We start from the raw sequence: 16,346 nt of genomic DNA, 5'->3' as shown, positions 1-16,346 counted from the left end.
CCCAAATGGGACTATTTGGAAAAATGATCTCTGCAGATGATCAAGTTAAGATGAGGCACTAATCCAACATGACCATGTCCTTATCAGAAGGGGAAATTTGGGCACAGAGGCCAACATACTGAAGACACAGTGGAGGATGTCATGAGAAGACGGAGGTTGAAGGATGCGGCTGCAAGCCAAGGACTGCCAAGGACTGCTGGCCACCCCCAGAAGCCAGCAAGAGGCAAGGAAGGGCTTTTCCCAGAGTCTCAGAGGGAGCATGGCCCTGCTGACACCTCGATTCCAGACTTCTTGCCTCCAGAACAGAGAGGTGATCACTTTCTCTTCTCCCATACCATCCAGTTTGTGGCACTTTGACATGGCAGCCCTAGCAAACTCTTACACCCTCTCCCTTCACCACCCTACTTAGCTTCCATATTCCAAACATATGTGTGAAGGTGACAAGTCTCAAAAGAAACGACCCCATGCCAGGTTCACATTGACAAGCATGTGCTGCACCCACGGTCCCTGGAGCAGAGGCATGAAGGAGGACTCCAGAGGCTTCTCCAGCCCCTCAGAAATGGTTGGCTCCATTAATATTACAGAGCACTTAGTATGGACTGGGTGCTCTTCTAAGTAATTTCTTAAATATTAAGTACTGTCGTTATCCATTTCATAGGTGGGGAGACTGAGGCACGGAAAGGCAAAGTAATTAGACAAATATTACCTGGCTAAGTGGCAGAGCTGGGGTCCAGGCTCAGGCAATCTGGCTTTAGGACCTGGACTCTTAGCCACTTTATCTTGCTGCCTCTAATAGCTTTATCCTGTTAGGACAGCTTCTCCATCTGTTAAATGGAAACAACTTAGGCAGGAAGAAGATCAAGCCCTCTTCCGTGCCCTGGGATTCTAATTCCCATCCGGCCCACAGAGCCCCAGAGATGGAAGGAACCCTGGTGATGGCCCACCCCCTGCTTGAGCATGTGTGTGTGTTTGTGTGTGTGTGATGGCACATGCCTATGATGTCTGTGCTTGCGTATCTGTGTATATGTTTTGTTTTGTTTTGTTTTTTTTCTGAGATGGAGTCTTGCTCTGTCGCCCAGAGCTGGAGTGCAATGGCACAATCTCGGCTCACTGCAACCTCCACCTCCCGGGTTTAAGTGATCCTCCTGCCTCAGCCTCCCGAGTAGCTGGGATTACAGGCGCCCGCCACACACCTGGCTAATTTTTGTATTTTTAGTAGAGACAAGGTTTCACCATGTTGGCCAGGCTGGTCTTGAACTCCTGACCTCCCGATCCACCTGCCTTGGCCTCCCAAAGTGCTGGGATTACAGGTGTGAGCCACTGTGCTCGGCCGTATATGTTATATATACATGTTACATATGCATGCATCCATTCTACTTAATGATATTTTTTTCTTTTTCAGAGTGAGGCTGATTCACTTACTCAAATTAATGTTCACATCTTGCCTGACTCATTTAATGGGAACAGCGAGTTCATGTGCCAATATGTGAACTGACCCTGAAGACCTTTCACCAAAAAAATATGGAGAGTCTCTTGTTCTTGAGTTAACGAGCATTGGACAACAACCAGCTTTTCTTTGACTTTCTCTGTTTTTCACAGTGATGCCTGCTGATCTCTGTCTAGCATTCTGACAAAGGGATTGGCGAGAGCCTCTTCAGGAAGACAGGGAATAAAGACTCCCAGAAAGGATGAAGAGAACACTTTACCATTTCTCAAAAGTGATTTTACCCAACCAACTTTGCAGATGAGGAGGCTCGCAGATCAGAGTGGGTAAATGGCTTGGCCAAGTTCGTCCAGGAATTTATTGCAGAACCAGGGCTGAGCCCCATTTGTCCAGATATCCACTTCTCTCCTTCTAATTTTTCTTCTTCCCAGGTTTTTCTCTGTCTCTGCTACTATCTGCCTGATTCTTTGCTTTTTATTCCAAATATGTAAACCTCCAATAAACCTAGAGACAGACTTATGCTTGATTTATCCCGTTATAGAGGAGCCAGGGACAATTACAAAGTGGATAAAAGTCCCCAGGTGCAGTTTTTAGAAATGCTTCCCCAGCATAAACAGCTTAACTCCATAAAGCGCCCCGAGAATGTTTGCTTAGTGGCTCTGATTTTTAAGAGATTGACCTTTGCTGCAAGACCTTGGGTCTATTCAGACCATTGCAACATAGCAGATCGCTGCCGCTCACATCTGAGTGTGGCGAACCAGCCACCTTGGAGAGGCCTTATCCAGAGTTTAATTCACAGTGCTTGGCACCTGGTAGGGGTTCAATAAACAGCTGGTGAATTAAAGACTGAATCAAATAATCAATAAATATTAGCTTTAGCAAAACAGAATGAGGAGGATAAATCCCCTAAAGGGAAAAAAATCAAGTAGCATATCCTGTCCACCAAAAAAAAAAAAAAAATCTTATGTTTTATCTGTGCCACTGAGCACCACACCAGGCCACATTCTGGGGCATAAGCCCTCAAATCTGAGGTTTCATTTAGACATTCAATATTTTAGAGTACTGCCCATGTGCCTACAACTATCCTAGGTAAACACTGGGCATATAGTGGCGAATACCACAGATGTTGTCCCTGGTTTGCAGAGCTCACAGATCATAAAGAAGACTCTCTGCTTTGGGATTTACTAGAAGGAGGCCAGTAATTCCCAAAGGAATCTCAGCTTTCACTCTTGGACTCAGAAGCCAAAGGGCAAGGAAGCCAGTGCTTGTCATCCAAGGTTCCAGGGCACCTGGGCTTGGGTTTGGGTCACAGAAGTGGCCCCAGCCATTCCTCACGTTGCAAGCAGATAAAGACCCCTGTGGATGGCCTGTGGGAATAGTGGGTGGCTTCTCATCCTTCCTAAGAGGCCAAGCCAAGGAGACAAACGGCACTTTATTAGAGATAAAAGCCCACTGAACAATCCATACCCCATTTTTATAGGCTGGAACCACTGACCCCCCTCTCCCCGCCAAAACAAACTAATAACAATTCAAGGGAACAGTTGAGCTCTAAGAGGGCCTTGAGTACACCCAAGACCAGGAGGCTGTGAGGGGAGGGACCACCACACTGGATGTCAGTGATCAAGTATCCAGTACCAGCTTTGCTGGTGATGTGCTGGTGGCCTGGACAAGTCTCTGCGCTTTTGAGTTGTCCAGCTTAGGTGGGATGACCTGCGAGTTCCTTCCAGTGCCGACCTTCTGATATGGTTTGGCTATGTCCCCACCCAAAATCTCATCTTGAATTATAATCTGAATTGTGATTCCCACATGTTGTGGGCAGGACCTCATGGGAGGTGATTAGATCATGGAGGCAGCTCTCCCATGCTGTTCTTATGACAGTGAGTGGGTTCTCATGAGATCTGATGGTTTTATATGGGGCTTTACTCCCCTTCGCTATGTACTTCTCTCTCCTGCTGCCATGTGAAGAAGGATGTGTTTGCTTCCCCTTCCGTCATGATTGTAAGTTTCCTAAGGCTTCCTCAGCCATGCTGAACTGCGAGTCAATTAAATCTCTTTTGTTTATAAACTACCCAGTCTCGGGTATGTCTTTATTAGCAGTGTGAGGATGGACTAATACACCCTCCATGTCTATTTCAATATTTCTCTTGTCCCTGTCTTTGACCCTCTGCCTGTCTCCCCACCCCTCCATAGGCTCCTGCTTATGCCTGGATTGTGCTGTTGTAATTAGTAGCAGTGCCTTCTCATTCTCAAAGTGTCTTGGTTTGGATGACAAATTATATAGCTACCCTACCCATCTTCCCTTCTTTCCCTCTCTTTTTCTCTGTTTTCTTGTGGGTTCCTGGAGACCTGACCAGCCCAGTAGTGTTCTTCAAGGATGCAGAGATCCAAGACCACCTACCCTATGCTGTGTCTCCTCCGTGGAGCTTCCACTTTCTCCTTATCCTTAAGCAGCTTGCCCTACCACAGGCCTAAGAAACAAGGACCTAAAACACCTCCCTCCAAGGTGGGAAAGAAGCCAGTTTTCCAGGGAACCACAGAACACTCAGCCACCCCAAAGTCTGGGAAGGAACCTCAGCTTTCACTTTGGACTCAGAAGTCAAAGGACAAACAAGCCAGTGCTGGTGGGCCCAGGGCCCAGGGAGCACCTGGGTTTACGTTTGGATGGCTAAAGAAGACACAGCTCAGGCAGACCCCTGCCTCACCACACCTAGCCATCCTGTGGCTTGCCAGAGACCTCCATCCAGGCCTTTTTTCTGTGTCATCCACAGGGGAGTTCACTTCTACTGGGCATTCCACACAGAGCACCTCCACCCCACACATACCTCTGAGAAGCAGAGTGAAATATTGATCGAGAGGACAGCCTTGCATTTGTCCCTGTTGCTTCTCAGAGTAAAAGCTGAAGTCTTGACAATGACCTACAAGGCTCAACATAATCCGTCTTCCCCTACCTCCCCGACCCCCTGCCTCAGGTCCCCTCCTTTCCTTCTCCCATCTGCTTATTCTGCTCCAGCCAGATGAGCCCCTGGCCATTCCTATAACACCAACATGCCAGACACGTTCCCACCCCAGGGCCTTTGCACCTGCTGCTCCCTCTGCCTGGAACGTTCTTCCCCCAGATAGGTACGTGACTCACAGCCTACCTCACTCAGGGCTTCCTGTAAATGTCACCTTTGGAGCCAGGATTACCCTGGCTGCCCCATTTAAAATTGCAATCCTAATACTACTTATTCGGTCCTATTTTTCATAGCACTTAGGATCTTCTAAGATTCTGCAGCATATAGTTCTTTATTGTTTTGTTTACTGCTGCACCTAGAATGAAGCCTGGTACAGTGGACACTGAATAGACAGGGAATGAATCCCTTGGGCTAGGACTCTTTGTGAGCAGAGGTCATGCTTTAATAGTTTTTGTTTCCATACAACAGGCCATGGCTGGGACCTCCCATGTGCCAGAAATAGTGCTAGGCACTGGGGACCCATCAGATTGATCAGTAGCACAGCTATTAACACAAGAGTTCACATTTATTCAGCACTCTAAACTACCAGGCACTGTTCTAGGTGCCTTGTAGGTATTGACTCATTTAATCCCTGTAACTACCCTAAATTGTAGATATTATTATCAGCCCTACTTGCAGATGGAAAAACTGAGGCATAGAGCAATTAAATAACTTTCCCAAAGTCTGTGTTGGTAAGTGACAGAACTGGGACTTAGATTCAGGGGGCCTAGCCCCAGAGCCCATACTGCCCTCAGGGAGCTCACAGACTTGTAGAGGAGACAGACATGTAAGAAGCCATGCTGTGCCACATGACTTGGGGACAATAACAAAGGCAAGGCCCAAGCATGCTTAGGAAGCAAAGTGGAGACATTAATATTAAATACAACTAGGGAGGCTGAAAAAGGCTTGTCATGAGAAGTGATATTTCACTGGGGTCTTGAAGGATGTATAGGAGTTCACCAGCTGAAGAAATGGGGAGGGTAGGAAGCAGTATGAGGGTTTCTGGGAATTATGAGGTGTCCATATGATTAAATCATGGAATGCACATGAGAGAGGGGTAAGCGGCAAAGCCAGATAAGTAGATAGGGAAGCTCACAAAATGCCAAACTGAAGAGTTTGGCCTTTATAAGGAGTTCTGGAGAGTGGGGTTTCAAGCAGGGTCGTGAATTCATTTGTTCATTCAAAGAGGAAACATTTTAAAAATGTTTACTATGGGCTAGGGAGAGTCCTGTGTTCTGGGATCTGTGTTTGGAGATCACTCCTAGCAGATAAGAAAGGTGCCTGGGTTAAATCCTGACTCCCAGCAGACTTTCTGTGGTTGTCTGTCAATGAAATGAATGAATGAATAAATTTTTTTAAATGGTTCTTATTGGTTTACCCAGCAATCTAGACATGAAACTTTGAAACATTGAGTGGAAGCTCTGACCCCCATTCCTCTACAGACCCCCACTGCATTTTTGTCTGAGCTTCCTGGCAGCCAAGGGAAAAAAGGAGATAATGGGATCTATAGCTCTCATTTGTCTTCAGGAAAAAAAAAATGTTAAGTTCTTTGAGAGAGAAATTCTACTTCCTGGCATCACCTTTTGGGAGGAATTTATCTCTTGGCGGCAAAGCAGTAGCTCTTATTTTTTCACTAAGCAGGAGCTGCAGGTTGCCTGGGAATCCCAGCCTGCCTAGATGGCAACACCACCTTGAAATGGAAAACATTGCCAGCTTCCTTTCCCAACAATAGGCCGTCACCTGCCCGGGTGTAAATACAGCTTATAGTTCAGAGGCAAGTTGCTAAGCATATGCGAGACCATATGGAGGGCCCTGGGAGGGCAGCCACCACTGATAAACACTTCCAGCAGCCAACCTGCCACTGCTGCTGCAGCCACTACTCCTCAGGGTCCCCACCGAATAGCCAGGGCCACCGCATCTGGGCCTCGGCTTGGGACAGGACACCCCACCTGGCTACTCTCCTGGGGAGACAAGGGGCCGAGTTCTGGTGACTTTCTAGGGCAGACTGGGATTTTCTCTGGGTCTTTTACATGGCAGAGGGCCCAAGGCTTGCCTGGAGTAGGGCTGGGAGCCGGTCTCTGTAGCTCAGCCCGTGCCGTCTGCCAATCTGATCATCTTTCGGCCTCAATTGCCTCCCTCTTCTTCTCCTGATTGTCTGTTTCTGACTTGTTTTCTTCCTCTCACGTTTGCTCACACTCACTCTGGCCTCTCTCTGGCTGACGCCCTCTCTGTGTCCCCACTTGTTGATTCTGTTTCTATGCCCCGTTTTTCTCCGACCCCTCCCCTTGCTCTTTGTTGCTGTTTCTCCCTCCACCTCTGCCCCATTTCTACTTCATCCTCCCCTGTGAGCTCTTCCCTTTCCCTCTGTCTCTCCACTCATCCTTGTGTGTCTCTCAGTCTCTGTGTTGCTGTTTTTCCTTCTGTCTTCTGCCAGTTCTCTTTTTCTATGTAGGTATCACGTTCTCTCTCTCTCCCTCCCCATCTCTGTGGTTTCTCCATCAAACAGCCTCTCTCTCTCTCTCGTTCTCTCTCCCTCTCCCTCCCCTGCCCTCCCTGCTCAGCTCCTGGGCCTCTGCTGTCTTTTATCACTATCAGCCCCTTTCTCTATACCTCTCACTTGTTTTTCTTTCCTGATTCTCAGAGAAGGGGGCTGGAGCCCAGGGCCCCTGTGCTGTGGGAAACACAAGGACACTTCGTGAGCTCCGAGCTCTGAGTCTATGCCTTACAGATCCCCCTTTCCTGCAGCTGGTGCTCTCCTGGCCTCTGGGACACTCACTCCCCACCTCTCCCATCCCCCACCCGATACATATACACATGGAGTGGTCCCAAAGCCCAGCCTGGCCTGCTGGCCTCTCTGTGGGCCTGGCTTCATTCCACTCGTTGCTCCTCCCACCCCCAGTGCCTGGTTTCCATGGTTACCCTGGCTCTCAGAGGCCATAGTGGATGTCTGGTCCTGGTGGCTTAGACTAACTGGGATCAGGAGCCTCCCTCCTCCTCTCTACCCTGGAGAACCCACCATAAGGCTCTAAGGGTCCACCTAGTTCTCAAAAGGATATTGCCAGTATTTGCCAGTATTTGTTTTCTAGAAAGGTTAGAATCGTGGCCAGCTCATCCCTGCTGAGGCCATGACCAAAAGGACATCGTTAGCCAAGTGTGGCTCAGACCAAGATCCAAGCTGCTGAATCCTTACTAACACTCATTCATTCAAGCAATCAAGCAAATATTGGGGGATAGAGGGCTGAATAAAGACAAGTCTCTGCCTTTGAGAAGCCCCCACAGATGATAGGAGCAGAGGGTGCTGGAAATATTGACCTCCTTGTGTCTGAGGCATCAAAAATATCCCCCAGAGGACAGGGTAACAGTTGAGCCTCAGAGGGTAAACAGGGAGAGGAGAAAGAGCTGGCTGGTATTCAAAGCAAATGACACAATTTGTGCAAAGGCACTAGGGTTGGGGACAGGGTGATGGGAAATGTGAGCTCCAAGAGGGTTGTAGCCCTGATGCCTAATTCCGTGTCTGGCAGAGTAGATGCTAAACAAATGCTGAGGGAGGGAGGGAATGAATGGATGAATGGTCTACAAGAGATGCTCAGTGATGGCTGGGAGCACAGGGGGACACGGATGGGCAGAGAGCGAAGAGCTGGGAAGATGCGTCTGGGCAGGTTTCATTAAAGACTCATCCACCCAAGCTGAAGAGTTAGAACTTCATGACTTAGCCAACTAGAGATTTGTTTGTTCCTTCCTTTGTTTTTCTTTCAGAGAAATAACACTCTGGCAGCTGTTTTGAAGATGAACATAAGTTCGAACTTGTAAATTTTACAAGTTCAGGACTAAACTCTTCATCTTCCCCACCTCCCCCCAGAACCTGCAAGAAGCAGGAAGATCCATGGCCTCATCTTTCCAGTTGATTGCAACTCCATCCTTCCAGTGCTCTGGCCAAAAGCCCTGGCGCCATCCCTGACTCATCTTTCTCTCACCCCCTACATTTGATCTGTCAGGAAATCCTGTTAGCTGCACTTGCAAAATGCGCCTGGAATCCAGCCATTTCTCGCCACCTCCTCTGCCACCATCTTCCTCCAAAACACCCTCATCTCTCCCCTGGGCTATTGCAACAGCCCCTCACTTTCAACTCTCATGCTTTCACTGCCTCCTCCTGCCTCCCCTGCTGCAGGTGTATCTCCTCTTATACACTACTCAGAGTGAGCCTGTTAAAATGTTGGTCACGTCACTTCATTCTTCAGCTTGAAACTCTGCGATGGCAGTGTCTCATGCTGAGTCAAAGTCAAAGTCTATGCAAGGTGCAAGGGCCCTGCATGATCCACCTGCTAGCTGCCCCCATCTCCTCTCTGATTTTCTCTCCTACTACACTCGGTCCCCAGGCACATGGAACAGTGAGTCCATTAAACTTCTTTTTTATTTTTTAAATAAATTACCCAGTCTCAGGTATATCTTTATCAGCAGCATGAAAACAGACTAATACAAGCAAGCCCCTAGGGTTTGGCCTACTGTTGAATGTCGAGGCAGGTTCTTGGAGGGGCCCTGAGTGCTCTCCTGGCCTCTGGGACACTCACTCCCAGGTTAAGAATCTTATTCTGTCAGAGGGAAGTTGGAAAGCTAAGCAGTCATCTTTCCCAGACTCCTTTGCAGCTAGGATCTGGGCTATGAATGAGGTTCTATAGGTAAACATGCCCCCATGAGGTGGGGAAGGAGGAAGAGAGGTGGTAGCCACCGAGCTGCAGCTGGAGCGGCCCTAGCATCTGCTCACCAGGTTCACAGGTATGTGGCAATTCCAGTGGCAGCAGCAGCTTCCGCACATCTGAGTCATATCAACAGGCATGACCTTCCAAACCAAAGTCCAGGGGCTGCCCCTGACTGCCCTTCTCCAGCCCTCCCACAGTTTTGCAACCATCTAATTTTCAGTTTTAATTCATTTGCTGCTTAAAATTCATACAGTGCTTTCCATTTCCAGCATTGAATCCTTACAGCCAGTCCTGCTGCATCCTCTGGGCTCCCTGACCCCTCTCCCTGGCCACATCCTCTCCCTTCTCCCCCTCCACAGTCTGAATAATTCCTTCTGGCTGGAGGTGTGGGTGGAGATCATTCTTTATCCATCTACCCACACGCAATCCCCAGATCTATCATCCAGGTACCTGAGTACTTCCTGCCCTTTTGAAACTTCAAGTCTGGAGTCCCTCCCTTTCTGTTCTCAGCTATCTCTGTGCCCCTCTGGGCAGGAAGTCGCATCGTCTGCATGGGTTTGTTCTGAAGGTCCTGGAAGGATTCTCCCCAGCATTCCCATTCTCTAGACTGACCTTTTTCAAAAGCATGTTCTGTGCAAGGGGTGTGAATGGGATTCTTGGAAAACAGAACTCTACCAAGCAGGAAGCTGGTAGTGACTCAACGTTAAAGGGGCTTCTTTATAGCAGGACTTCTCAGAGCCTTTACTGTGGTAAGATAAACTGTGAAACCCCAAGAGGGATATCAGAGCACAGTGCTTGGCACAGCACTTCACACGTAGTGGTCTCTAAATTAACCACAGTCTTTGGTGACCAATTCGTGATTTTGATTCTCAATTGGGTTTAGCTTGGGTGGGATGAAGTGACACTTTTCTGTGTGCTTGAGAGTGGACAAAGCACAAGCTTTCCCTCTGGACAGGTCTGAGTGCAGATCACAGTTCCGCCGCTTACTGTGGAAAACTGACCTCGCCACTCTGAACCTCAGTTTCTTCTTCAGGGACAGGATACCTACCGCTCAGGAGGACTGAGTGGGTGAATGAAATGAAGTACACAGTGGTGCTGGATACACAGTAGCTAAGAGGGTGACCGTCGTCTGGAACCACAGCTCCTCTAATCACAGTCCAGCCCTCCGAGTTCAGCCAGGCTGACACAGTGAGGAGAGCGTGGGTGGGCCTGGCAGGCTGTGCAGGGAATCCCGAGGGACCCTTCTCCTGAATTCCAGTCGTGCCGGCGGGGCTCTTGGGTTTCAATACACAACATCACAGAGCTGCTCTGCTACCCGGACAAATTCCTATAATGGAAGGACTCAGAGATTCCCAAAGCCAATTTTCCACTCATGCTGCTGCTTCAGGTGGAAGGAGGCAGGGCCCCAGCTGGGGACTGGAGGACAAAACGGAAACAGGCTGATGTCACAAAGTAATAGTACAAACTAAGACCTATGACTACTCACTATGGGCCAGATACTGCTCTAGGCATTTTGCATTTTCTCATTTAATCCTCACAGCAAGCCAAAGAGGTAGGCGCTATTATCATTTCCGATGTGTAGGGGAGGAAGTTGAGGCTCACAGCCTCCCCTGGCAGCCTCCTCTGTGGTCTGCTGCCCCTGACTCTGAGCAAGCCCTGCCTCTCCCTGAGTCCATGATTGCTCCCACTAAATGTCCACCCCTTGGCCTTGGTTCCATGCTCGGAGTCCTCCTTGCTTCCCATGGCAATGTGGGAGGCCAAGTGGTTTCAGATTCCAGGGGTCTTGTCCCATCCAAAATTTCAGGGCCAAGGCAGCTTGAAACAGCCCAGAGAACTTGAACTTTGGAGTAGAAAGATGAGGCCTGAGTCTCAGAACCCCATTCATATGCTGTATAATGTGAGACAGGTCACTCCACTTCTCAGGGCCTTGGGGTATGACTAGGGACTGCCTTTGTCACTGGGGTGCCACACTGGTGTAGAGGCAGGTAACAAAAAGCCCAACTCAAAGTGGCCTAAAAAGCAACGAATTTCCATTTTCTCATATAAATAAAAGTCCAGAACTAGGGTGGGTAATTCACAGTTCAGCAGAGGCATCGAGGACCCAGGTACCTTTCATCTTTCTGTGTATCCATGTTTGCTTGCCTCATGGTGGCAAAATGGCTGCAGCAGCTCCAGGCAGAGCATACTCAAACAACAATGTTCATAGGCCTTCAAAGAGTGGGACTCTTCCCTTTGTTTTTTTTCTTTCAGACTGGGTCTCACTTTGTCACTCAGGCTGGGGTGCAGTGGTGCCATCATAGCTCACTGCAGCCTCAGTCTCCTAGGCTCAAATGCTTCTCCCACTTCCTAGCCTCCCAAGTAGCTGGGACTACAGGCATGCGCCACCATGCTGGACTGATTTTTTTAATTTTTAGTAGAAACAGGGTCTTCCTATGTTACTCAGGCTGGCCTCAAACTCCTGAGTTCAAGAAGTCCTCCTGCCTCGGCCTCCCAAAGCATAGGGATTACAGGCATGAGTCACCACATCCAACCTGCTTCTTTATAAGAGAGAGGAAAACCTCATTAGTACTGCCTTTGTACCTCATTGGCCAGATTTGCACACGCAGCCTGGCATCATGCTTGGTGTCTGAGCTTGCTAGAGCTGCTCTGACCAAGTCCCACAGCCTGGCTGGCTTAAACAACAGACATTTCCATCGTCACAGATCTGGAGGCCAGAAGTCTGAGATCAAGGTGTGAGCAGGGTTTGTTTCTTCTGCTGCCTCTCTCCTTGGCTTGTAGACAGTTGTCTCCATGCCATGCTTTCACACAGTCTTTCCTCTGTGCGGGTCCATGTCCCAGTCTCTTCTTCTAAGAACATAAGTCATATCGGATAAGGACCCATCCTAGTGGACTCATTTTAATGTATTATCTCTTTAAAGACCTTAACTCCAAATACAGTCAAATTCAGAGGTACTGGAGGTTAAGACTTCAGCATGAATTTGGGGAGGAGAGAATTCAGCCCCTCACACCTAGTAATAGCTCAATAAACATGAGCTATTAGTATTTGTGTTGGCATTTGAATTCACATTTATGTTTTTTAATTGTTGCATTCTCTGCCACTACAATGGAAATGGACTTATTTATTTATGAGATGGAATCTCACTCTGTCACCCAGGCTGGAGTGCAGTGGCACGACCTTGGCTCACTGCAATTTCCGTCTCCCGGGTTCAAGCGATTTTCCTGCCTCAGCCTCCCAAGTAGCTGGGATTACAGGCTCGCGCCACTGTGCCTGCTAATTTTTGTATTTTTAGTAGAGATGGGGTTTTGCCATGTTGGCCAGGCTGGTCTTGAACTCCTAACCTCAGGTGATCTGCCTGCCTCAGCCTCCCAAAGTGCTGGGATTACAGGTGTGAGCCACCGTGCCCGGCTGGAAATGGACATAACTGCTCTATCTAACCAAATTGTTTAAATTCAGTGGATGGCAGCCAGGACTGATGGATGGAAGGTACCAGAGCAGTTCCTTCCCTTCAGGGCCAGGCTATATCTTTGCTCTGAGCGACAGTGGGGTAGCTTCTTTTCAGTGATTCCCAAGAACCCAGAATTCCTCCTCACCTCAGTTTCTTAGAGGGAGAAGGCAAGGAGTGGAGGAAGAGGTGCAGCCAGGCTGGACTGAAGGGTCAGAGGTGCTTTTCACGGCCTTACCCTCAATGACCAAAAGCTAGCATTCATCCAATCATTCATTCAGCAAATATTTATTGAGTGCCTTGGGGTAGGCCAGCACTATTCTGGGTACTAGTGATTCGGTGGAACAAACAATGCCTCTGTCCTTGTGTTCATAATCTATTGAGGGGGACAGACAATGAAGAAACCAAAACTGATATCATATAACGTCAGCACTGTGATGAAAAGAGAAGCGGGGTAAGGGGATAGAAAATGGGAGCGGGGGCCAGGTGCAGTGACCCATGCCTGTAATCCCAGAACTTTGGGAGGCCAAGGTGAGAGGATCACTTGGGCCCAGGAGTTCCAGACCAGCCTGGGCAACATAGCAAGACTTTGTCTCTACAGAAAATATATTTTTCTTAAAAAATTAGCCAGGCATGGTGGTGCATGCACGCCTGTAGTCCCAGCTACCCAGGAGGCTGAGATGGGAGGACCTGAGCCCAGGAGGTTGAGGCTGCAGTGAGCTGTGATTGTGCCACTGCACTCCAGCCTGGGTGACAGAGTGAGACCCTGTCTCAAAGAAAAATGAAGAAAAGAAAAGAAAAAAAGAAAAAGAAAACAGGAGGGGAAAAAACAAAGGGGGAAAATAAAGAAAATGGGAGGGGGAGTGGTATTTAAACAGGGGGACCCAGGGCCCTCTAAGAGATGACACTTGAGCAGAGGCCGCAGGAAGTGAGGAGGGAGCCCCAGCTGCAGGACTGGGCTCCAGGCTGTGGGAACTACACACACAAGAGCCCCGGGAGGACAATTCACAGCCAGAAGCCAGAGTGGCTGGAAAGGAGTGAGCAAGGAGCAAAAGACTTTGGCTTTTACTTCTAGTGGGAAGGGAAACCACTGGACAGTTTTCAAAAGGAAATGTTGGGCCAGGCGCGGTGGCTCATGCCTGTAATCCCAGCACTTTGGGATGCCAAAGCAGGTGGATCACCTGAGGTCAGGAGTTTGAGACAAGCCTGACCAACATGGGGAAACACCACCTCTGCTAAAAATACAAAAATCAGCTGGGTTTGATGGCGCATACCTGTAATCCTAGCTACTCGGGACGCTGAGGCAGGATAATCGCTTGAACCCAGGAGGCAGAGGTTGCAGTGAGCTGAGATCGTGCCATTGCACTCCAGCCTGGACAACAAGAGCAAAACTTCGTTCCCCTCCCCCCTCAAAAAAAGGAAATCTCATGGTATGATTTAGGGTGGGCAGAATGGGAGGGCTCATACTTACAGGTGCTTGTAAGAATCAAGTGAGCTCATTCATAAAAAGACTTACATGAAGAGTACCTGGCACAAAGTAAGTGCTACGTGAGATTTTCTATCATTATGATTGTTATCCTCATTTTATGGAAGAAGAAACTGAGGCTTCAAGTGGTAACTAACTAGCCCAAGATCAATCACTGGTAAGGGGTGGAGCCAGTCTGTTACCAGAGCCTGGGCTCTGCATTGCTACAGATTGGAAGTCCCACAGACCCATGTCCAAATCTTGGCCCTGCCACTCATTAGCTGTGACCTTGAATGATTAACTTCTCATGGTTCTGTTTCTGCATCTATCAAATGGAGGCATGGCTGACAACCTCTAAGATGGTCCCAGTGACCCTGCCTCCTGGTGTTCATGGCCTTTTGTAATCCTCTCCACTGAGTCACTAACTTACTTCTAATCAATAGAATACAGCAATGTTGAGGATGTTACTTTGTATCTGCTTACGTTACAAAAGATTGTGAGTTCCACCTTGCTAGCAGACTCTACCACCTTCTGCTTGTGGACTTTGAAAAAGCAAGTGTGTGTGGGGGAGAGGCCCACGTGATGAAGAGTTAACAGCAGCCTCTGGCCACAGCCCAGAGATAACTGAATTCTGCCAACAACCACTGACTAAGCTGAGAAAGAGATCTTTTCCCATTCAAGCCTTCAGATGAGACCACAGCCCTTGCAGACGACTTGATTGCAGCCTTGTGAGAGACACTGAAGTAGAGGACCCTGTTAAGTCATGCCCAGGTTTCTCACCCACAGAAGTTGTGAGACAATAAATGAGTGCTGTCTTAAGCTACTAAGCTTTGGGGTGATTTGTTACACAGCAATAGATAACTAATACAGGGGTGATACTTGTGCCTGCAACTGACAGTCACTGGGGACAAACACAGTGTTTTGTGTAAAGTACGTAGCTCCATGCCTGGCCCCAAGTGAGTTCTGAATAAATGGTAGCTGTTTTAATTTTAATAATTAAGCCCTCCCAGAGGGCAGATGACAAGTCTGCTCTACCTGGACTCTGAGCCTGAACAATGCCTAGGGTTTGCTAAGATCTAGGTCCAGAAAGGCCAGGCTCAAACAGTTTGCTCTGAGGACAGGAACATCCCTGGGCCTTTCGCTTTGCTCCCCACATTCCAGGGCCTCTTAGTCATCCTGATGTCCATGTCATGGCAGATCCCATGTTTTGCACCCCAGTTTCACCCTTAGAGGGGCCCCAAAACTGGTGCTGCACCCTCCTTCCCATTTCCTGGCCACCTCTGGAAGGCCCCAGATTACCCCTCCCAGTCCAGGAGAGGAAGAGGTTGAAGGACGGGAAGAGGACACAGCCCAGCCAGAGGCTAGGAGTTGGGCTCGGCCAGGCCTCTCCTTCAAAGGCAGCCTCTCGATGTTGGAGGCATCCAGACAGCAAGCAGGCCCCAGGCACTGGCCCTGGCTACAGAGTTTCATCCTCAAAGCCAGAGCTGTCTCCTGCATAGCTGTTGGCATGGGACCCATCCCCACCCCACCTCCCCACCCCCCCACACACTGTGAGTCATCGACTCCATTAAGGCCTATGGCCATGACCATTTCTCTTGGAGATTAGCAGCCAGGCCCCCCCAACCCCTGCCTAGGGCCTGCCACTCTCTCAAAGGCAGGACACACCATAGCCAGGCACCTGGACTGTCCTCTGGCCTCCACCAGCACACACCCTGGGCATGCGATGGGGTCTCTTGGTGTCCTGCTCTCTCTCTCTGTCACATTGCCGTGTTGTCTAGCTCTCCCTCATCTCTCTGCTGTTTCTATCTCTGTTTCTTTCTCTCTCTCCCTCCCTCCCTGCCTCACCCCCACATCTCTCTTTCCCTGCCACTACTTCGATACTGCTATTACTGCATCACTCTCACTCTGCCCCCTCTCTTCAGGGAGACTTCCTCCCTACACCTCCCACTCCCTAAAGCTGCCTGTGCTTCCCTGTGTGACTCCTGAGCCTACCCCTCAGCCATCTCCACTGCCCATCTCCACTGCCATCTCCACTGCCCAAGTGCCATCTCCCCCGAGAAGCCCACTCTCAGTTCTTCCTCCTCCCTTACCCCAAACAGAATGCAGTCTCTCTCTACCTTTGGTCATATGATTTGTGGGTAGGATATCCATCCACTCCACTGCCTCATCTACTCCCATGCTAGCTCTGCCAGCCTCAAGGGCAGTGGCAAACACCAACCTGGCTCAGGTAGGTGTTCAGGAAACCTTGAAAAGGGAAAGAGAGACAGGGAAGAGAGAAGAGACACAGATAAGAAAGTAAAGATG

The 16,346-nt window shown here is 49.1% G+C and overlaps 4 annotated features.

Annotated features, from left to right (window-relative positions):
* Positions 6,013–6,307: a silencer, noted in NCBI's record as "tiled region #8672; K562 Repressive non-DNase unmatched - State 21:Repr". NCBI's record gives its function as "represses a minimal TATA promoter and a strong SV40 promoter by Sharpr-MPRA in K562 cells {active_cell/tissue: K562}" and the evidence as "EXISTENCE:reporter gene assay evidence [ECO:0000049][PMID:27701403]".
* Positions 9,056–10,255: an enhancer, noted in NCBI's record as "P300/CBP strongly-dependent group 1 enhancer chr11:44729901-44731100 (GRCh37/hg19 assembly coordinates)". NCBI's record gives its function as "activates an origin of replication core promoter dependent on BRD2, BRD4, P300/CBP, MED14 and CDK7 cofactors, with strong dependence on P300/CBP, by STARR-seq in HCT116 cells {active_cell/tissue: HCT116}" and the evidence as "EXISTENCE:reporter gene assay evidence [ECO:0000049][PMID:35650434]".
* Positions 9,113–9,407: a silencer, noted in NCBI's record as "tiled region #3015; K562 Repressive non-DNase unmatched - State 22:ReprW". NCBI's record gives its function as "represses a minimal TATA promoter and a strong SV40 promoter by Sharpr-MPRA in K562 cells {active_cell/tissue: K562}" and the evidence as "EXISTENCE:reporter gene assay evidence [ECO:0000049][PMID:27701403]".
* Positions 9,113–9,407: an enhancer, noted in NCBI's record as "tiled region #3015; HepG2 Activating DNase matched - State 8:EnhW". NCBI's record gives its function as "activates a minimal TATA promoter and a strong SV40 promoter by Sharpr-MPRA in HepG2 cells {active_cell/tissue: HepG2}" and the evidence as "EXISTENCE:reporter gene assay evidence [ECO:0000049][PMID:27701403]".

The sequence above is a fragment of the Homo sapiens genome, chromosome 11 (genome assembly GCF_000001405.40).
Source record: "Homo sapiens chromosome 11, GRCh38.p14 Primary Assembly".
In the NCBI taxonomy this organism is placed as follows: Eukaryota; Metazoa; Chordata; class Mammalia; order Primates; family Hominidae; genus Homo; species Homo sapiens.
The sequence above is the reverse complement of the archived record's forward strand: the minus strand, read 5'-3'. Positions and strand labels throughout refer to the sequence as shown.